The 23,288-nt window shown below is 40.5% G+C and overlaps 1 protein-coding gene across 4 annotated transcripts in view, besides 1 other annotated feature; it reads left to right on the top strand.

Annotated features, from left to right (window-relative positions):
• DHFR (dihydrofolate reductase) overlaps positions 1–20,309 on the top strand; it is a 28,758-nt gene extending 8,449 nt beyond the window's left edge. For 2 of the 4 annotated variants that reach the window (NM_001290354.2, NM_000791.4), the window contains 3 exons: positions 8,526–8,652; positions 12,543–12,658; positions 17,370–20,309. In NM_001290354.2, coding sequence (NP_001277283.1) covers positions 8,526–8,652; positions 12,543–12,658; positions 17,370–17,448 — 322 coding nt within the window. In that variant the 3' untranslated portion in view covers positions 17,449–20,309. The remainder of the gene's footprint in view (positions 1–8,525; positions 8,653–12,542; positions 12,659–17,369) is intronic. The other 2 variants (NR_110936.2, NM_001290357.2) reach the window with 2 other exon arrangements.
• Positions 14,331–14,625: an enhancer, noted in NCBI's record as "tiled region #2279; HepG2 Activating DNase matched - State 5:Enh". NCBI's record gives its function as "activates a minimal TATA promoter and a strong SV40 promoter by Sharpr-MPRA in HepG2 cells {active_cell/tissue: HepG2}" and the evidence as "EXISTENCE:reporter gene assay evidence [ECO:0000049][PMID:27701403]".

Raw genomic sequence — 23,288 nt, 5'->3', positions numbered from 1 at the left:
TCTAAAAGTAGATAGGAGTGATGCTTGCTCGACTCTGAATCTACTAAACGTCACTGAACTATACACTTTAAAAGGGTAAATGTTATGGTGTGTGATTTATATCAATAAAGTGGCTTTTAAAAGTCTTTGGAACCAGCCGGGCACAGTGGCTCACATCTGTAATCCCAGCACTTTGGGAGGCCGAGGTGGGCAGATCACGAGGTCAGGTGTTCGAGACCAGCCTGGCCAACATAGCAAAACCCCGTCTCTACTGAAAATACAAAAATTAGCCAGGCGTGGTGGCAAGCACCTGTAATCCCAGCTACTCGGGAAGCTGAGGCAGGAGAAGCTCTTGAACCAGGAGGCAGAAGTTGCAGTGAGCCAAGACTATACCACTGCACTCCAGCCTGGGCAACAGAGCAAGACTCCGTCTCAAAAAAAAAAAAAAAACCTCGTTGGAACCAAAAATTAAATAAACAAGTTTTACTGTAATGCTATAGTAGCCTGGACACCATCTTTAGAAAATCCAAAATTGCCTCCATTATGTAAGATTTAAATAGTCTCCCATCCACGAAAGTTAACTTAATTTCATGTTATAATTTTTTACGATCTCACTATCAGAATCTCCACAGTGATTAAAACTTCTTGAAGGTGCAGTTCTCTCTCCCCCTACCACTCACACACTTGGAGTAGCAAACACTGACCTGGTTTCTGATGTCTACTATGGCACCTAATAACTTTGTGACTTTAGGCAGGTTACAAGTAAGCCTTGTTGAACCTCTTTCCTTACCTATTAAATGAGATGAATAATGACAACTTTTTTGGGTGATTTTGAAGACTCACTGAAATTTTGTATGTAAAGTTTCTGGCACACAGAAGGGTATAGATATCAGTTCCTACCCCCACCCCCATAAACTTGCTACTTTATATCTTATAGAACATACACATTAATATTAATATTAATGAAATCACAGTGAACAGACTCATGATCTCATTTTCACCTTAACATATTACTTTGTTCTTGTTTCCCTCCATCTTGAGACAAAAATCCACTGCCACCTAAATCAACTCTCTCATCTCCCCTGACTTGATTCTGGATTCCTTTTTTTCTATCTTCACCTTGCTCTGCTGTCCCAACCTTTTAGTATTATCAAAGGCAAAATAAAAATTTTGCGATGAATTCTCTAAATTTAACATTGTGTTTGGGAAGAAAAAATTGCAGTTTAGGGCATACATGCAGACAAGTGACCTTCCATATGTCTGAAGAACAAAGGGAAGGTTAGAGGTTTTATTTAAAAGGAGAAATGTTACTGCTCTTTGAGAAAGTTCATTGGCACTACTAAGGTTTGGGGGAGCTAGCAAGCTCCGACTGGCGAGCAGTGAGTGGTGGGCAAAATCAGTTCTAGAGTTGCAGCAAGTTATCTCAGAAGCTATAGATAAAACTGGTTTCAGGTTACAACAAGCAGTTCCAGCAGTCAGGCTTACAGAGAATTACATTCTTGGAGCAATGTTTTATACCCTGAGTGCTTTTTTCCCCTGGCCCCTCAACTCTGATTTAGTTGGGTATGACAAGAATGACCCACTGTCACCCAGGCCAGAGGGCAGTGGTGTGATCGCGGCTCACTGCAGCCTCCACCTCCCTGGCTCAAGCAATTCTCCTGCCTCAGCCTCCCAAGTAGCTGGGATAACAGGCATGTGCCACCATGCCCAGCTAATTTTTGTGTTTTTTAGTAGAAATGGGGTTTCTCCATGTTGGCCAGGCTGGTCTCAAACTCCTGACCTCAGGTGATCTGCCCACCTCAGCCTCCCAAAGTGCTGGGATTACAGGCGTGAGCCACCGTGTTCGGCCTACCCTGTTTTAAACCTCACCATAGTTTACTTTTCTTCTACCCTCAACTTTCTCAGAGCTTTCTTGTATTAAATAACTTTAGTATGATTAAAATAAAATTCTATACTACACTTTGGTTGTAGTCTGTCATGCCTGTGCCTTTGCACATGTTTTTATCTCCTTTGACACTCAGTTAAGGAGTCATGCCCTGAGGAGTATTCTCCCTCATCACCCCGGCCCTGCGTTCCTGTATAGCGTCCTCTGCATGTCTTCGTTGTATGTCCTTTCATACATTATAGTCACTGCTGAGATATTTCTGACTGCTATCACAATCTCTTTGAGTTCAGGGACTGCATATTTTATCTCTATCCCCAGAATCTAGCATAACCCCTAGCAAAGTAGGAATTCAAAAATCACAGAATGAATAGTACATAGGTGATTTATAAAAATAGAACCATCCCACATAGTACCACTTTGTAACCCACCTCTTTTTCCCTCAATATATTAGAAAATAAAGTCCTGTAAATATTTTTAGTGGCTGCATAGTATTCCATTATGAGGCTGGATCATACCCAATTTTTAATATGAGCATACCTCAGAGACACTGCAGGTTCAGTTCCAGACCACTGCAATAAATAAAGCATATCACAATATAGGTAGTCACATAAATTTTTTCTCAGTGCATATAAAAGTTATATTTACACTATACTGATAGTCTAATAGATGTGCAATAGTATATCTTTAAAAAATGTATGTACCTTAGTTAAAATATGACTGGAAAATGCTAACAATCATCCGAGCCTTCAGTGGGTCATAATCTTCTCACTATGGAGTGTCTTGCCTTGATATTGATGGTTGCTGACTGATAAAGGTGATGATTGCTGAAGGCTGGGGTGGCTGTGGCAATTTCTTAAAACAAGAATGAAGTTTGCCACATTGATAGACTCTTCCTTTGAAGAAAGATTTTTCTGGAGCATGTGATGCTATTTTATAGGATTTTACCCACAACAGAATTTCTTTCAAAATGGGAATCAGTCCTCTCAAACCTTGCTGTTGCTTTATTAACTTAGTTTGCATAGTATTCTAAATCTTTCGTGATCAACAATGTTCACAGCATCTTCACTGGGAGTAGATTTCATCTCAAGAAGCCAGTTTCTTTGCTCATCCATAAGAAGTAATTCCTTATCCATTGACATTTTATCATGAGATTCCAGCAATTCCATCCCATCTTCAGGCCCCACTTTTTTTTTTTTTTTTTTTGAGACGGAGTCTTGCCTGTGGCCCAGGCTGGAGTGCAGTGGCCCGATCTCAGCTCACTGCAAGCTCCGCCTCCCGGGTTCACACCGTTCTCCTGCCTCAGCCTCCCTAGTAGCTGGGACTACAGGTGCCCGCCACCACGCCTGCTAGTTTTCTGTATTTTTTAGTAGAGACAGGGTCTCACTGTGTTAGCCAGGATGGTCTCCATCTCCTGACCTCGTGATCCGTCCACCTTGGCCTCCCAAAGTGCTGGGATTACAGGCATTAGCCACCACACCCAGCCCAGGTTCCACTTCTAATTCTAGTTCTCTTGCCATTTCCACCACATCTGCAGTTATTTCCACCCCCAAAGTCTTAAACCCCTCAAAGCCATCATGAGGGTTGGAATCAACTAACTCCAAACTCCTGTTAATGTTGATATTTTGATCTCCTATGAATCATGAATGTTGTTAATGCCATCTAGAATAGTGAATCCTTTTTAGAAGGTTTTCCATTGACTTTGCCCAGATCCATCAGAGGCTATTGCAGCTACGGCCTTACAAAATGTATTTCTTAAATAGTAAGACTTGAAAGTCAAAATTACTCCTTGATCCATGGGCTGCAGAATGAGCAGGAATATTTTGAAAGGAATCTTCCTTCCTGAGAAGTAGGTCTCAACAGGAGGCTTTAAATATTTAGTGAACCATGCTATAAACAGACGTGCTGTCATCCAAACTTCGTTGTTCCATTTCTAATACACAGGCAGAGTATATTTAGCGTAATTCTTAAAGGCCCTGGGATTTTCAGAATGGTAAATGAGCATTGGCTTCCACTGAAAGTCATCAGCTTGCATTAGCTCCTAACAAGAGAATCAGCCTGTTCTTTGAAACTTTGAAACTAGGCATTGACTTCTCCTTTATAGCTATGAAGTCCTAGATGGCATCTTCCTTGAATAGCAGGCTATTTTGTCTCCACTGAAAATCTGTTCTTAGTGTAGCCACCTTCATCAATGATCTTAGCCAGATCTTCTGGATAAACTTGCTGCAGCTTCTACATTAGCACTTGCTGCTTCACCTTGCACTTTTTTCTTATGGAGACAGCTTTTTCCTTAAACGTCATGAACCAAACCCTTGCTAGTTTCAAACTTTTCTTCTATAGCTTTCTCACCTCTCTCAGCCTTTACAGAATTAAAGAGGGTTAAAGCCTTGTTCTAGATTGGGCTTTGGCATAAGGTACTGTGGCTGGTTTGATCTATCCAGACCACTCAGCTTCCTCTACATCAGCAATAAGGCTGTTTGCTTTTTTGTTTTTGTTTTTGTTTGAGACGGAGTCTCGCTCTTTCGCCCAGGCTGGAGAGTGCAGTGGCGTGATCTCAGCTCACTGCAAGCTCCACCTCCTGGGTTCACGCCATTTTCCTGCCTCAGCCCCCCAAGTAGCTGGGACTACAGGCACCTGCCACCATGCCTAGCCAGGCATACACTTTTTTGTATTTTTAGTAGAGACAGGGTTTCACTGTGTTAGCCAGGATGGTCTCGATCTCCTGACCTCGTGATCCGCCCACCTCGGCCTCCCAAAGTGCTGGGATTACAGGCGTGACCCACCGCGCCTGGCCAAGCTGTTTGCTTTCTTACCATTCACATTTTCACTGGAATAGCACTTCCAATTTCCTTCAAGAGCTTTTCTTTTGTATTTACAACTTGGCTGTTAGATGCAAGAGGCATGGCTTTTGGCCTGTCTTGGCTTTGATGTGCCTCCTTCACTAAGCATAATCATTTCTAGCTTTTGATTTTACATGAGAAATATGCGACTCTTCCTTTCACTTGTACGCTTAGAGGCCATTGTAGGGTTATTAATTGGCCTCATTTCAATATTGTTGTGTCTCAGGGAATTGGGAGGCCAGAAGAGGGGGAGAGAAACAGGAATAGCCAGTTAGTGGAGCTGTCAGAACACATAACATGTATCGATTCACCATCTTAAAAGGGCATGATTTATGGCACCCCATAACAGTTACTTGCAACAGTAACAGCAAGATCCCCAAAACGTATTTTAATAATGAAAAAGCCTGAAATATTGTGGAAATTACCAAAAGGTAACAGAGATAGAAAGTGAACACATGCTGTTGGAAAAACTTCACCAGTAGACCTGCTCAGTGCAGGGTTGGCACAAACCTTCAATTTGTAAAAAAGAAAAACACCTTTATATCTGTGAAGCACAGTAAAATGAGGTATGGCTTAGTAGGGAACCCCATTTTTAAAGGCTCAGTATGAAGGGTCTTAAATTGAAGATGTATTTTTGCGTTCTGGTTAAGACACTATTCCATTTCAGGGTTTTTTGTTTTTAAGTGGTTTCCCAACACTCCTCAGGGAAATTGAGCAAGAATTCCATCGGCAGTCCTCACATCAGGAACAGTGAAAAAGGATAATGTTTATATGGCACCCGAGATAATCAGATAAGGCCAGAAGACAAGAGTCAGAGGGTTCTGCCTAATCTAAGCCCCACCATCCTGATGTTTAAGGGCCCCTGAATCGGAGGACCCTGCCACAGGCACCAACTGAAGTCTTTTGTCCATGTAACAAATTGCAGCTCAAGTTTCAAAGTCAAATCTGTTGGAGTTCAACTCGGAGGTCCATCATTTCCCGGCTGTGTGACCAGTAGTTTCTTAACCATTCAGCCTCAGTTTCCTCATCTATAAAAAGGAATGATAGTACCACGTACAATTGCCAGTTAAATGCAGTGTGTACATTATCTCATTTAGTCTTCATGCAAACCTTCAAGACTCAATCACAAAGAAATGTCCACACATTTCTTAACAAAGAATACATATGCTACTACATACCAACTCTCCTTTGTCAGGGAATCCAATCTAGATTGGTTTAAAATAATTATAGGAAAGAAATTCAGCAGTGAAATATGTGACTATATTGGATGCTTGCTATTTGTCATTTACTGTATTTCTAGCGCTTGTGCCATGTAAGGGCTGATGAACTCAAACCGTAGCTCAGCTTTTTGCATGCTCTTTTTTACCCACCTAGAGGTCCAGTGTTTCCTGTGATACTTACCTCTAAACTGCTAAATAGCCACATTTTACGGAAGCATATTCTTCATACCTTTGCTCTAACTTAAATCTCTAACTTTGCACTATATTTAATATGGGTTTTTTGGGGGGAAGGGGGGAGTGGAGTTGGTTTTTTTTGAGACAGAGTCTCGCTGTCTCGCCCAGGCTGGAGTGCAGTGGCACAATCTCAGCTCACTGCAAACTCTGTCTCCTGGATTCAAGCGATTCTCCTGTCTGAGCCTCCCAAGTACCTGAGATTACAGGCACGTGCCACCACACCCAGCTAATTTTTCTATTTTTAATAGAGACGGGGTTTCACTTTGTTGGCCAGGCTGGTCTGGAACTCCTGACCTCCCGTGATCCGCCCATCTCAGCCTCCCAAAGTGCTGGGATTACAGGCGTGAGCCACCACACCTGGCTAATCTGTTCTTCACTTTCTTTTCTATACTCACTACAAAAAAGGGCAAGGAAGTCTTCACAGCTGCACTTACTAACACCGTCACGGCTCTGTTTTGGCCATCATCTGTTTATTAACTAAACTCTCTTCTCTCCCAACTCCAAATCTTTGTTTCTTCTAGATTGAGTTCTCTCCCTGAAGAGCCTAATCCAACCTGGTCCCTGTAACTGCCCTGATACCTTAGGAGATACCTGGGCTTATTTAACTTCTCTCTGGCCACCATGTCTTTTTCCAGCCTGAGTCAAAGTATATTCTTTGCTCTAACCTAATTCTTTTAAGAATGACAGAGTAAAATAAGTAAAATTTATATGAGGAGGGAGAGGGAGGAGGCAATCAAGAGAATGAATAGTCCCTATTCTTGATTAATCCTTATTATAACTATGAGTTCAAGGGCAATTATATAATCTTGTTAAAGCACCAGGCTAAAAACTTGACATGGAATTGTAATTTCTGTTGTGTATCTAATTACTATGAAAGCCTAGTTCTACCTGTTTCATCATTTATAAAGGGAATTGCAACCCCCACCACGACCAACAAAGTAGTTTCAGAGATTGGGAGGGACTAAGCTAGTCAATGTAAACCAAGCTTGTCCAGCCCATGGCCCGCAGGCCTCAGTGTGGCCCAGGATGGCTTTGAATGCTGCCCAACACAAATTAGTAAATTTCCTTAAAACATGCACAGATCTTTTTTTTTTTAAAGCTCATCAGCTATTGTTAATGTTTGTGTATTGTATGTGTGGCCCAAGACAATTCTTCTTCCAATGTGGCCAAGAGAAGCCAAAATATTGGACCACCCCTGAGTAAACACTGAAATTAATTAACTTCTTCCCTTTTGGATTTTAATTACATAAGTAATAATAAGCTCATTTTTTAATACTTCACCCATTCCTGTATTGTTTGAAACATAAATCCTTTCCCCATTCCCAAAGGTAACAACATATTAACAGTCTGAATGTCATTCCAAGCTTTTCTGCAGTCATTCAAACATATCACTCTTTTTCTAATATTAGGAAAATCTTCACACATACAGAAAGAACTTTACAGTAAACTCACCACCTAGATCTACCATTAACATTTTACTCTACTAGTTTCATCACATTTCATCCATCAATTGGTCTTGTTCATTTTTGCATTTCATAATAAACTGCAGACATTAGTATATTTCCACCTAAATACTTCATCATTCATACCATTAATGATTCAGTCTTGGCCGGGTGCGGTGGCTCACGCCTGTAATCCCAGAACTCTGGGAGGCCAAGGCGGGCAGATCAGCAGGTTAGGAGATTGAGACCATCATGGCTAACACGGTGAAACCACGTCTCTTCTAAAAATACAAAAAATTAGCCGGGCGTGGTGGCAGGCACCTGTAGTCCCAGCTACTCAGGAAGCTAAGGCAGGAGAATGGCATGAACCTGGGAGGCGGAGCTTGCAGTGAGCTGAGATCGCGCCACTGTACTCCAGCCTGGGCTACAGAGCAAGACTCCGTCTCATTCATAAATAAATAAATAAATAAAATGATTCAGTCTTTCTTTACAGTTTTTTTCTGAAGTAAATATTACATGAGACACACGTCTTAAATGTACATTTGCTAAGTTTTGATAAATGTATACACCTGTGTAACCCCAGCCCTATCAAAGATACAGAATATTACCTATCACCCCCAGAAAGTTCTCTCCTGCCCTGTCCAAGTTAATCTTTATCCCACCCCTCCAGAAATAACTACTATTCTGATGTTTTTCCACCAGAGATATCACAAGATATCACATGGTTTTATGATTCATTGTGAACCACAGATGTACAAATATAGGTTAAATTATTGGTCAGAGGCCATACTGATGTTAAGTGCTTTTTGTTGAAAGGATTCATATTTATGATGATTTTAGTTCTATAGTCACTGCATCTTAGTCAGATTATTTGACTAGTATGGATGGATTTTACAAACATTTTGTGGAATTCTTTTTTTAACCTTAGGGAACCTCCACAAGGAGCTCATTTTCTTTCCAGAAGTCTAGATGATGCCTTAAAACTTACTGAACAACCAGAATTAGCAAATAAAGTAGACATGGTCTGGATAGTTGGTGGCAGTTCTGTTTATAAGGTAAGTGTAGTTGTTGGTAAATAAAAACAAATGTTCTGTTCTACTTTCAGCTTCCTTGCCATTTAAAGGAAGTGGAAGAAACAGGTATAACTCATTGTCTGAACCTTTAAAAAATTAAGCCATGCGTATAGGAAGCAGCACATTATCTGTACTGTAAATTATTTGTTGTTAGTTGAAATTATTTGTTGTTTGATACTATACAAACTAAATAGAAATGCAAAAATAAATATTTTAGTCTGTATCAGCCTTTTTTATTTATTCATTTATTTTTGAGACAGGGTCTTGCTTTGTCACCCAGGCTAGTGTGCAGTGGCACTGTCTCACTGTAGCCTCGAGCTCCAAGGCCCAAGCAATCCTCCCACCTTTCCTCCCAAGTAGCTGGGATTATAGGCACACACCATCGTGCCCGGCTAATTTTTGTATATTTTGTAGAGTCAGGATTTTGCCATGTTGCCCAGGCCGGTCTTGAACTCCTGGGTTCAGGCAATTCACCTCCCAATGTGCTGGGATTACAGGTGTGAACCACCACACCCAGCCTATTTATCTTTTTAATTGGCAAATAATTGCATATATATATATATATATATATATATATATTATGTACAACATGTTGTTTTGAAATGTGTATACATTGTAGAATGGCTAAATGGAGCTAATTAACATGTATTACCCACTTATTTTGTGTGGTAAGAACACTTAAAGTCTACTCTCTTAGCAATTTTCAAGAATACATTTGTTATTAACTAAAATAATAGATGTTGTACAATAGATCTCTTGAACTTACTCCTCCTATGTAACTGAAATTTTGTATCCTGTGACCAACATCTCCCCAATACCAATCTACTTTCAAATCAAAGAATAATTGATGTTTCCAATTTAAAATCCATTCTAAATCTTTTCCTGAGAATTGTACTTGCATTGCACTGGTTTCTACTCCCTGAATGTACCCTAGATACACTGAGTTATGCCTTTGTCTTTCAGGATGAATATATCTCTTACTGAGAAAGGGTTGGGGCTCTCAGTTGATATACACTAACTAGATGTATATGAATTTATTACAAGTAGAAAACTTCTTCAACCAATTTTTTTTTGTTTTGTTTTTGTTTTTTTGAGATGGAGTCTCACTCTGTCAAGACTCAGTCGCCCAGGCTGGAGTGCAGTGACACGATCTTCGGCTCACTGCAAGCTCCACCTGCCAGATTGACGCCATTCTCCTGCCTCAGCCTCCTGAGTAGCTGGGACTACAGGCGCATGCCACCACACCTGGCTAATTTTTTTGTATTTTTAGTAGAGACGGGGTTTCACTGTGTTAGCCAGGATGGTCTCAATCTCCTGACCTGCTGATCCACGCACCTCGGCCTCCCAAAGTGTTGGGATTACAGGCGTGACCCACTGCGCCCGGCCAATATACCTCTTTTTTAATACCAAATGACTTCCAGCTTTAAAATTTTTGAGGATAACAAATAGAATTCTTTGCCTTTTAAAACACCAATGAAAAATTAACATTTATGAGGAGGAAGAAAAATCTAGTTTCTGCCATGTGGGTGGTCTTGTGGTAAGATATATACAGTGAAATTATTTTAGAAAGAAGAGGTAGGCCGACGCCTGTAATCCCAGCACTTTGGGAGGCCAAGGCGGGTGGATTGCTTGAGGTCAGGATCTAAAAACCAGCTGGGCCAAGATGGTGAAACTCCATCTCTCCTAAAAATACAAAAATTAGTTGTGTGTGGGCGCGGGCCCCTGTAGTCCCAGCTACTTGGGAGGCTGAGGTGGGAAAATCACTTGAACATGGGGGGCAGAGGTTGCAGTAAGCTGAGATCGTGCCACTGCACTCCAGCCTGGGTAACAGAGTGAGACTCTGTCTCAAAAAAAAAAAAAAAAAAAAAAAAAACTCTCAGTTTCTTGGGCTCCTGTTTCTAGAACCTCTTATGTTCCCCATTTGTAATAGAAGAAAAGGGACATTTTTTCTTGATATTTTTATCCAAGTATGAATTTCTTCTAAGAAAACAAGTTATTTATTTTGTTCAGTGCCTACCACACTTTGAATGATTCATTACCATAGTCACTTGAAAATGTATTCTTTAAGCAATATAAGTACGTAAATGCCTTTATATAATATGATAAATCTACATATAGATAAATAGGAAGTAGAACCTTCGAATGGTATTTTTACACCTGCCTCACATCACAACAGCTTGTAGATATCATTCAGGCTTATCTTCCTATGGGCCAAATCGGACCTCCCAGCCTGTTTTTGTAAAGAAAGTTTCAGTGGAACACAGACCCACCCATTCATTCAGTTCTGTCTGTGGCCTGCAAAGGTAGGAAACCCTATGGCCCTCAGAGCCTAAAATATTTACCATCACTCCTTTTACAGAAGGTTTGCCTTGTATAATCAACTTTTTTTTTCTTTTTTTTTGAGACGGAGTTTCGCTCTTTTTGCCCAGGCTGGAGCGCAATGGTGCAGTCTTGGCTCACCGCAACCTCCGCCTCCCGGGTTCAAGTGATTCTCCTGCCTCAGCCTCCCAAGTAGCTGGGATTACAGGCATGCGCCACCACGCCCAGCTAATTTTGTATTTTAAGTAGAGATGGAGTTTCTCCATGTTGGTCGGGCTGGTCTCAAACTCCTGACTTCAGGTGATCCACCTGCCTCGGCCTCCCAAAGTGCTGGGATTACAGACGTAAGCCACTGCAGCCGACTTATAATCAACTTTAATGCAGAACTTCACCACCACAGTCAATCTAATAATCCAGACAGCTCCTAAGTGACTAAGGGGCAGGTAACATAGACAGCATGTGCAGGACAAAGGGATAATTCACGCCCTAGGCAGGACAGAGCAGAATGGCTCAAGATTTCTTCACACTACTTAGAACAGCATGTCATTTAAATCTTATGAATTATTTCTGGAATTTTCCAGTTAATATTTTCAGACCACAGTTGACCATAGATAACAAACTGGAAAGTGAAACTGCAGATAAGGGGGGAGTCTGCATTCCACTTTTTAAATTTTTGGTACAGTAAGAATTAGTAGAGCATCTATTTGGTTGTAGCAAAGATAATAAATGATTTAATATAAAATGATATATTGAAAATAAAAAGTGAAATTTGTTCTGTACCCTTATTTGGAATTTTAAAAATAAACACTTGGATTTGTTGTGTGTGTGTGTGTGTGTGTGTATTTTTCTTTTCTATAAACTATTTGAGATCAAGAATTACTGCTTTGTTAGAATTGCAATTAAGACATACTTTTTATGAATGAGAATTTTAATACACTCATTCTAGGGCAACTTTTTCTGTAGAAATTATCAACCATATTTTAGGCAGTAGTTAGAAAAGTCATGTACAATATAAAGCCAAATGTTAATACAATTGTTAGCACCAAGAAGCAGAAAAATTACCTATCTACTAGCATTGTAATTATCTTCTGAGAATTGGAAGCATTACAAAATTTTATGTATATGTATTAAGTATGCTCTTGGGGTTTTCCATAGTCAAGGTCTCATTAAATTGTACTATCTTATTCATACAAGTTTATGTAAATTTTTCTATGGAGAGCAACTAGATAATTTGGGGCTCTTAACTCTAAACAGCCAAAGGGAAAACAATAAAAGAGAATGCTTAAATTAAAAAGTTCTTGTAAGCAAACTGGAGGCCAGACTATATTTAAACTCAGTCTCTCATAATTATTGATAATGGTTAGTGTCATTCTCAATATAACTAAGGCATACTTTGCAGCACCCCAGATGAAAGAATAGTATATTTTAATAATATGCTTTGGCAGCACCAAGCATATTTTTAATACCTAGTATAAACTTAACTAAACATAAATCTTAGAGTTTCTTTGTCTTTTGACACACATTAAGAAAACTGATGTTGTTTTATTTCAAAGGAAGCCATGAATCACCCAGGCCATCTTAAACTATTTGTGACAAGGATCATGCAAGACTTTGAAAGTGACACGTTTTTTCCAGAAATTGATTTGGAGAAATATAAACTTCTGCCAGAGTAAGTATAAGGTTATTAATTAGTCTGAAGCACTTTGGATTTCCTGCTTAAGACTATAGAAAATAACATGTCTTTTCAGACTACAAATTGGGTTCACTGTGTACTGCTAGGATGATGGGTGCACCAAAATCTCACAGATCACTACTAAAGAACTTACTCATGTAACCAAATACAACCTGTTCCCCAAAAACCTATGGAAATAATAAATTAAAAAAAAAAAAAAAAAGCTTGGCACAGTGACTCATGCCTGTAATCCCAGCACTTTGGGAGGTCGAGGCAGGGGCAGATCACCTGAGGTCAGGAGTTCAAGACCAGCCTGGCCAACATGGTGAAACCCCGTCTCTACTAAAAATACAACAAATTAGCTGGGCATGGTGGTGCATGCCTGTAATCCCAGCTACTTGGGAGGCTCAGGCAGGAGAACTGCTTGTTCCTGGGAGGCAGAGGTCGTAGTAAGCCAAGATCACGCCATTGCACTCCAGCCTGGGCGACAGAGCAAGACCGTCTCAAAAACAAACAAAAAAAAATATTAAGTATTTTAACACCTGAGCATGTGATGTCTTTCCCCTTGTTTAGGTCCTATTTCGTTCAGCGATGTTTTATACCTTTCAGTGTTAATTTCATACTTATGTATTCTATTCCTTTTGATGCTATTGTAAATGGTATTTTCTTTAGTTTCAGACTGTTTATTGCTAGTTACAGAAATGCAAATGATTTTTGTTTATTGATCTTGTATCTTGCAACCTTGCTGAACTCATTTGTAATTCTGTCAATAGATTCCTTAGGATTTTCTCTATACAGTATAATGTCATCTGCAAATATAGGTTTACTTCTTCCTTTTTAATCTGGATTTTTTCTTTGCCTAATTGCCGTGGCTAGACCTGCCAGTACAGTGTTGACTAAAAGATAGCAAGAGCAGACTTACTTATCTTGCTCCTAATCTTAGAGGGGAAGCTTTTCTCTCTCATCAAGTGCGATTTAAGCTGTGAGTGCCTTTATCACATTGAGGAAGATCCCTTCTGTTTCCAGTTTATTTAGTATTTTTTATCATGAGAGTATTATACATTTTGTGACATGCTTTTTCTGAGTCTATTGAGATGATCATGTGGTTTTTGTCTTTTATACTAATATTTTAATGTACTATTAATATGGTATATCACATTGATTTTCATGTTAAACTAATGTTTCTGGGATAAATTCTACTTGGTAATGGTATATAATCCTTTTTATATGTTACTGGGCTTAGGTTGCTAGTATTTTGTTGAAGATTTTTGCATTTATATTCAGAAGGGATGATTTATAGTTTTTTTTGTTTTAATGCCTTCCCCTGGTTTTGTTATCAGGATAAAAGTGACCTCATAGAGTGAGTTAGGAGATGTTCTCTTCCCTTCTGTTTTTTTGAAAGAGTTTGTGACAGATTGTTAGTACTTCTTAAATGTCTTAGAAAATTTTAATAGTGAATCGATTGAGAGAGGAATACGGAAATTGCTCCAAAGTGGAGATTCTAAACAAGGCTATGGGAGAAAGCAAAAAACTCTTCCATTGCAACATTTGATGGTCATTTGTACTTTCAGGCATGTACTAACATAACATCATAACAGCCTCTTTAATGGAATGGAGGGAATTCTCTAACGGGAGACCTAGAGTAAGTCAGTCCTTCATTCTATGGAGAAAAAGGAAACCTGTGAAGATAAAGTGAATATACTTTGTCCCTGGAAAACACATTGCTCAGTTCTGGAGCGGCTTTCTCTCCAGATCTCTGTGCGCTGGGGAACTTAGATTTGCTTTCTACTGTCCAAATATAAACTTTGGTCATTCTCCACCTCCCCTATCCCTTTCCCCACAGCTACTCACTTAGTTTAAGTCCCGTTGTCTCTATCAGTTAACCTCTTGTGGTTATATAGGTTTCTGTTCAAACATAAAGTCTTTTATTAACACCATTCTTCCCGATTTAAAAAATAAACAGACTAATATAGTGAAATACAGATGAAAGAGAGAACTTGTGAGACAAGAAGAGAATAAAATTAGAATGTGGAAGGAGCCACAAGTGATGGGAGCCAGAGCAGACGGTCATATTAATAAAGTAAGGTGGTTTTACTTTGTGTCTGCCGTCAGCTCTGTACGTCATTGTGCAGTCGATTTTTCAACAGCACTGTGCCAGCCTATCCTCTAGGGCTCTGCTCTCATTCATCTTGCCTGGAAGAAATCTTTCTCAGACTATTTCACACTAGACCCCAACCAAACCAGCAGGCCCAGATATTTTATATTGGCAGTTTTCTACTTAATGAGCCCCAAACAGGCTTTTACTTCTAGTTAACAATCTTCTGTGTGACCACATAGTCAAAGAGAAGACAGATTAAAAGAGGCCTGTGGAGGCAGTAGTTGGCTCCAGAGCTGGGACAGATGCCCCTTATCAGTGGACACCTTGAAGTAGGTTTTGGATGGGCTGATGTTTCTTCTTCTGACCCTAAAACTTCCTGTCAGGATGCTGGCATACTCGTCCACATGACTCGGATATCCCTTTGCTCCTGAGCCTGTGCTTCCTGTAGAGTCTTGATTTTAATTGTATTTTGGTTTTTTGGTTTATTTTTTGTTTTTGAGATGGAGTCTTGCTCCGTTGCCCAGGCTGGAGTGCAGTGGCACGATCTTGGCTCATTGCAACCTCCACCTCCCAGGTTCAGCGATTCTCCTGCCTCAGCCTCCCAAGTAGCTGGGATTACAGGCACGTGCCGCCATGCCCAGCTAATTTTTGTATTTTTAGTAGAGACAGGGTTTCATCATGTTGGCCAGGCTTGTCTCGAACTCCTGACCTCAGATGATCCGCCCGCCTCGGCCTCAGCCTCCCAGAGTGCTGGGATTGGAGGCATGAGCCACCGCACATGGCCCAAAAACTTCTTGATATGTTGCTTTTGTCTTATGAACTGACAATCTTGACACTTGAGAATTTTGCACAAAAAATGTATGTAGATGTTACTTTTCATGACTCATTCCAGAGAGACTAAAATTATAATAGAAAATGGTTAATAGAAACATTGCTTCTTCCCCTGAAATATAAATTATTCCAGAAAGTATCTTTTTCTTTTCCCTATAATTTTGTTACATTGTATCTCTGTTTTTGTTTTTTTTTTTACCAAAAATGCATAATCTCTAATTAGTCAGCAAAGGTTAATGTCTATTATTACTCAGCAATGTATTGAATATCATGAGACTTAAAAGTTTACTGTGTTGTCCCTGCCTACAATGAGTTTAAAAAATAGAGAAACGAGGCGGGCGGATCACGAGGTCAGGAGATCGAGAACATCCTGGCTAACACAGTGAAACCCCGTCTCTACTAAAAATACAAAAAATTAGCTGGATGTGGTGGCGGGTACCTGTAGTCCCAGCTACTCGGGAGGCTGAGGCAGGAGAATGGCATGAACCCAGGAGGCGGAGCTTGCAGTGAGCCAAGATTGCACCACTGAACTCTAGCCTGGGCTACAGAGCGAGACTCCGTCTCAAAAAAAAAAAAAAAAAAAGAGAAATGAAACAAACCAATAATACTAGTAGGCACCATTTATAGAACACTTGATGTGTTAGGCACAATGCTACATTCTTTTTTGGTTTTGGGGGATGGGGGCGGAGTCCTGCTCTGTCACTGAAGCTGGAGTGCAGTGGCGCCATCTTGGCTCACTGCAACCTCTGCCTCCCAGGTTCAAGCAATTATCCTGCCTCAGCCTCCTGAGTAGCTGGGATTACAGGCACCCGCCACCATGCCCGGGTAATTTTTGTATTTTTATTAGAGACAAGGTTTCCCCATGTTGGCCAGGCTGGTTTCGAACTCCTGACCTCAAGTGATCCACTCACCTTGGCCTTCCAAAGTGCTGGGATTACAGGCGTGAGCCACTGCACCTGGCCAACAATGCTACATTTTTTACAAGGATGAAGACTTTATTGACAGCCAGGCTCGGAGGCATGTCACACAGCAGAACCAGAGTGAAGCACAGTCTGATTCAAGCAGGCGTTCCTGACCACCTGGAGCATACTGGGGTGCAGCCTGCATAGTACTGAAGAAGTAACCAAAGATTGGGGTTCATTGGAGGCTGGAAGGGTCAGAAGATTCCTCAGTGGAGAAGCTGGGTTTGGAAGGGGAGCTGGAGAGAACACAGGCTTAAGTGAGAGTTAGGGAACAGGAATAGCAGATCCTAATAAAGGAATTACAATCTGCCACACATTGTGGAATTAGGGCAGTATAGTCTCCATCAATCAAACAGAAGCAGAGAACCTGTCACTGTCCAGGGCACATAATTTCAGTTATGTTCTAAACAGCTTCAGATTGTATTTTTGTCTTTTGCTTACACAAGAAATGTGATACCAAATGTAAGTCTTGCAAAAAATTCTTAAGAAATTTCCTGTTAGCTGGGTGATAGAGTGGAAAGATACAAGGGAAACTGCTGACTGGTTTTTGAGAGAATGAGGAATCCAAAGGAAACAAAAAAGGAGAAATTACACTTTTTGTTTTCTAACTTTCTATATAGTTTACAGTTTTTTTCTTACCATTTGCATATGTAGTATACTAGCATGATATTTATCCAACTTGACAGTGGCTTACCATTGTGAAGAAAAAAGGGAAACCTTTTATTTGCTTTATGCACTATTGATGCATTTAAACTGAGAATCAGGGAAGCTGTGTTTTTAATGGACACATAATTTAATTATATATTTTTTCTTACAGATACCCAGGTGTTCTCTCTGATGTCCAGGAGGAGAAAGGCATTAAGTACAAATTTGAAGTATATGAGAAGAATGATTAATATGAAGGTGTTTTCTAGTTTAAGTTGTTCCCCCTCCCTCTGAAAAAAGTATGTATTTTTACATTAGAAAAGGTTTTTTGTTGACTTTAGATCTATAATTATTTCTAAGCAACTAGTTTTTATTCCCCACTACTCTTGTCTCTATCAGATACCATTTATGAGACATTCTTGCTATAACTAAGTGCTTCTCCAAGACCCCAACTGAGTCCCCAGCACCTGCTACAGTGAGCTGCCATTCCACACCCATCACATGTGGCACTCTTGCCAGTCCTTGACATTGTCGGGCTTTTCACATGTTGGTAATATTTATTAAAGATGAAGATCCACATACCCTTCAACTGAGCAGTTTCACTAGTGGAAATACCAAAAGCTTCCTACGTGTATATCCAGAGGTTTGTAGATAAATGTTGCCACCTTGTTTGTAACAGTGAAAAATTGAAAACAACCTGGAAGTCCAGTGATGGGAAAATGAGTATGTTTCTGTCTTAGATTGGGGAACCCAAAGCAGATTGCAAGACTGAAATTTCAGTGAAAGCAGTGTATTTGCTAGGTCATACCAGAAATCATCAATTGAGGTACGGAGAAACTGAACTGAGAAGGTAAGAAAAGCAATTTAAAGTCAGCGAGCAGGTTCTCATTGATAACAAGCTCCATACTGCTGAGATACAGGGAAATGGAGGGGGGAAAGCTGGAGTATTGATCCCGCCCCCCTCCTTGGTTGTCAGCTCCCTGTCCTGTGTGTGGGCGGAACATAGTCCAGCTGCTCTATAGCAAGTCTCAGGTGTTTGCAGTAAGAAGCTGCTGGCATGCACGGGAACAGTGAATGCCAAACACTTAAAGCAATTCGATGTTTAAGTATGTAAGTTCTTTTTTTTTTAGACAGCGTTTCGCTCTTGTTGCCCAGGCTAGCATGCAATGGTGTGACCTCGGCTTACTGCAACCTCCGCCTTCCCAGATTCAAGCGATTCTCCTGCCTCAGGCTCCCAAGTAGCTAGGACCAGGTGCGCGCCACCACGCCCGGCTAATTTTTGTATTTTGTATTTTTAGTAGAGATGGGGTTTCACCATGTTGGTCAGGCTAGTCTCGAACTCGTGACCGCAAGCGATTCACCCACCTCAGCCTCCCAAAGTGCTGGGATTACCGGCTTGAGCCACCACACCCGGCACATCTTCATTCTTTTTATGTAGTAAAAAGTATAAGGCCACACATGGTTTATTTGAAGTATTTTATAATTTAAAAAAATACAGAAGCAGGAAAACCAATTATAAGTTCAAGTGAGGGATGATGGTTGCTTGAACCAAAGGGTTGCATGTAGTAAGAAATTGTGATTTAAGATATATTTTAAAGTTATAAGTAGCAGGATATTCTGATGGAGTTTGACTTTGGTTTTGGGCCCAGGGAGTTTCAGATGCCTTTGAGAAATGAATGAAGTAGAGAGAAAATAAAAGAAAAACCAGCCAGGCACAGTGGCTCACACCTGTAATCCCAGCGCTTTGGGAGGCTAAGGCAGGCAGATCACTTGAGACCAGCTTGGGCAACATGGCAAAGCCCCATCTCTACAAAAAACACAAAAATTAGCTGGGCATTGTGGCGCACACCTGTATTCCCATCTAGTCAGGAAGCTGAGATGGAAGAATTAATTGAGCCCACGAGTTCAAGGCTGCAGTGAGTCGTGATTGTGCCACTGCACTCCAGCCGGGGTGACAGAAGAGACCTTGTCTCGAAAAGGAATCTGAAAACAATGGAACCATGCCTTCATAATTCTAGAAAGTTATTTTCAACTGATAAATCTATATTCACCCAAATAATCAAGGGTGAAGGTAAAATAATACATTTTTAGACAAGCAAAGACTCAGGGGTTACCTCCATGTGCCCTTTTTAGGGAAGCTGTTGGAGAAAATACTCCAGCAAAATGAAGGAGTACACAAACCAGAGAATGACATGAATCCAGCAAATAGGATCCAACACAGGCAATATTCCAGCTATGGAGCTAGCTTTAAAAAGGAACAGTAAAAATATTAATCGGTTAGCTGGGTGGAATGGCCCATGCCTGTAGTCCCAGCTACTCAGGAGGCTCAGCAGCAGGACGACTTGAGCCCAAGAGTTCCAGACCAGCCTGGCCACCTTAGTGAGATCCCTTCTCTTAAAAATAATAACTTATTGCCAGATTTGGGGCATTTGGAAAGAAGTTCATTGAAGATAAAGCAAAAGTAAAAAAAAAAAAAAAAAAAACAAGGGGAAAGGGTTGGTTAGGCAATCATTCTAGGGCAGAAAGAAGTACAGGATAGGAAGAGCATAATACACTGTTTTTCTCAACAAGGAGCAGTATGTACACAGTCATAATGATGTGACTGCTTAGCCCCTAAATATGGTAACTACTCTGGGACAATATGGGAGGAAAAGTGAAGATTGTGATGGTGTAAGAGCTAAATCCTCATCTGTCATATCCAGAAATCACTATATAATATATAATAATGAAATGACTAAGTTATGTGAGGAAAAAAACAGAAGACATTGCTAAAAGAGTTAAAAGTCATTGCTCTGGAGAATTAGGAGGGATGGGGCAGGGGACTGTTAGGATGCATTATAAACTGAAAAGCCTTTTTAAAATTTTATGTATTAATATATGCATTCACTTGAAAAACTAAAAAAAAACAATAATTTGGAAAAACCCATGAAGGTAACTAACGGAAGGAAAAACTAAGAGAATGAAAAGTATTTGCCTCTGGAAAGAACAACTGGCAGGACTGTTGTTTTCATTGTAAGACTTTTGGAGCCATTTAATTGTACTTAACCATTTTCATCTATTTCTTTAATAAGAACAATTCCATCTTAATAAAGAGTTACACTTGTTAATAAGTGCTGGCCTCCTGTTGTTCTTTGTACACCCCACACAAAATTTCAAAGAAACTTTGATGGCAATATATCTCCATGGTCAGCTTAAAAATAGAGAAAGGAAAACATAGAATTAGCCAAGAGTCACACAAAACAAAGATCAGTTGTTTGTTAGGAAACAATCAAAATCAAGTCTCACTTTTTCCAGATTGGCTTATGGAACAGCACTGTAAGGTGATAACTTGGGGCAAACATGTAAATAATAAAACATATGTTTTAAATATTCAGGTTAGCACATTTTATGTTTCTGTGAGATTAAAATTGTGTGTGACATACCCGCTTCCTTAAAGGCAATGTTTCTGAAAATGTTGTACCTGCTATTCCTGAATCAGGGATGGGTCCCAGAATCTGCCTTTTAAACATCTCAGATAATCTGAAGCCTGCTTAAGTTTGTAAGGCACTGCTTTTGCACTCTAAGGAAGAAAAAAACAAGTTTTAATTCCCGTCTCTAGAACATCTCAGTGAAGCAAAACAGGAAAGCAAATTATAAGTTAGTATATGTAAGATTTCAGAAGGCAAAGTTGTAAAGATTAGATTTCCTTAGCCTGGGAACATGGCAAAACCACGTCTCTACAAAAAATACCAAAAAAATTAGCTGCGTATGGTGGTGTGTGCCTGTAGGCCCAGCTACTTGGGAGGCTGAGGTAGGAGGATCACTTGAGCCCAGGAGGTGGAGGCTGCAGTAAACCAAAATCGTGTCATCACTCCAGCAGCCTGGGTGACAGACCAAAACCCTGTCACAAAAAGATTTCCTTGTTGCTGATCTGTTTTAAGAACAAGACGTTCTTAAATGTGTAATGCAAATACATATAAAACTATTTAATATCAGTAACTCCAAGAGAACGAGTAAACAAACTAGATTTCCCTTAGCAAGATGCTTTTCTTACACAGGTAGTAAACTAAAAACTGTAAAGTTAATGGCCTAATTAGGCAACATGACTGTGAGGAAAAGATTGGCTGGCCAGCCGTTGAAAGGATTCAGACAAACAGTTATCTATGAAAGATTGAACCTTGTAATTAAAAATGTTCCAGCGGGGAGAAAGAAAAGAAGTGCATGATTAAATGACTAATGGGAATAGAATTAGAGACTCTATAAGGAGAATACTTTTTGTTTTTGAGAGTCTCACTCTGTCGCCCAGCCTGGAATGTAGTGATGGCAGTCTCGACTCACTGCAACCTCTGCCTCCTAGGTTCAAGCAATTCTGCCTCAGCCTCCCTGTAGTTGGGATTACAGGTGTGTGCCATCAAGCCTAGCTAATTTTTTTTGTTTTTTGTTTTTTTTTTGAGACAGTCTCCCTCTGTCGCCCAGGCTGGCGTGCAGTGGCGCAATCTTGGCTCACGGCAACCTCCGACTCCAGGGTTCAAGCGATTCTCCTGCCTCAGCCCCCAATTAGCTGGGATTACAGGCCCCCACCACCACGCCGGGCTAATTTTTGTATTTTTAGTAGAGACAAGGTTTCACCATGTTGCCCAGGCTGGTCCTCAAGTGTCACCCAGGCTGCAGTGCAGTGGCACAATCTTGGCCCACTGCAACCTCTGCCTCCCGGGTTCAAGCAGTTCACCCTCAGCCTCCCCAATAGTTGGGATTACAGGTGTGTACCACCACCCCCAGCTAATTTTTGTATTTTTAGTAGAGACAGGTTTTTGCCATGTTGGCCAAGCTGGTCTCAAACTCCTGACCTCAAGTGATCCACCCACCTCGGCCTCCCAAAGTGCTGGGGTTACAGGCCTGAGCCACCACGCTTGGCCAATTTTTGTATTTTTAGTAGAGACAGGGTTTCACCATGTTGGCCAGGCTGGTCTCAAATGATCAACTGCTGGTCTCAAATGATCAACTCCTGGCCTCAAGTGATCTGCCTGCCTCTGCCTCCCAAAGTGTTGGAATTACAGGCATGAGCTACTGCACCTGGCCCAAGATATTATTACAGGCCCCCGCCGTCACAGGGATAAAGGGGAATAAAGCCCCTGGCCAAACAGAAGAAAGAAGGCCTATAAACCACATGAAGTGCTGTTCCTGTTACCCGGGGGAATTACTTTAATGACCGTTTCTAATCATCTGCTCCTGTCCTTTCTGTTCCCCAGCTGACCTCATGTGTACCAGGAAGTTACTCTGTAAATACAGTGACATTTCTGTTGAAACTTTTTCTTAAAAAAAAAAAAAAAGACAAAACACATTGGTGTGTGATATTTCAAATAGCTTTGTAGTAGATAATCAAATGTGAAATCTAATCAGAAGAAAAAATTAGATGGTCTCTACTTTGCCTAGGAGCCCTAACAAAGACAAACACAAGACAAAGCCTAAAGGGATAGAGTTTTGTCTGCAAGGAGGAAAAGACTTCATGGTGCTGGAGGTCAGGAAAACCTGGGGGGAAGAGAGATTTTTTTCAGCACCTACCAGCTAAAGTAATTAGGGAAAGGGATCCTGAATTAGACTGCCTCTTTTTCAGTGCCTAGTCATGTTCCCCTCCAAAAGGCCAGAGACAAGGAGTTAGGAGGCTTCTAGTTGACCTGATTCACTGTCCACAGGTTGACTTCTCACTGCCAGTTGTCTTTACTTTTGATATGTGAATTGGCAAAACTTAGACTAGGGATTCCTCCCCCTCCCCCACCATGCCATACCCCTCAACATTTTATAATGACTAATTCAAGCACACGGAAAGGTTGACAGAATTGTACAGTAAGCACCCATTTACCTATCACCTAGATCCTATCATTAACACTGCTATCTCTGCTTTATCACATATGGAGCCATCCATCTATCCATCCTATATTTTGACGCATTTTAAAGTTACAGATATCACTATTCTTCATGCCTACATTCTTCAGCTTGCCTATTAACTGTAGTTCACTTTTTTGGTAAAATTTACATAATGAAATGCAGATCTTAAGGATAACATCCTACAGGTTTTGATAATGGCATATACCTTTCTATAACCCAATCTCTT

The sequence above is a fragment of the Homo sapiens genome, chromosome 5, assembly GCF_000001405.40.
Source record: "Homo sapiens chromosome 5, GRCh38.p14 Primary Assembly".
Taxonomy (NCBI): domain Eukaryota; kingdom Metazoa; phylum Chordata; class Mammalia; order Primates; family Hominidae; genus Homo; species Homo sapiens.
Note: the sequence above shows the minus strand (reverse complement) of the source record. Positions and strands in the feature narration are given on the sequence as shown.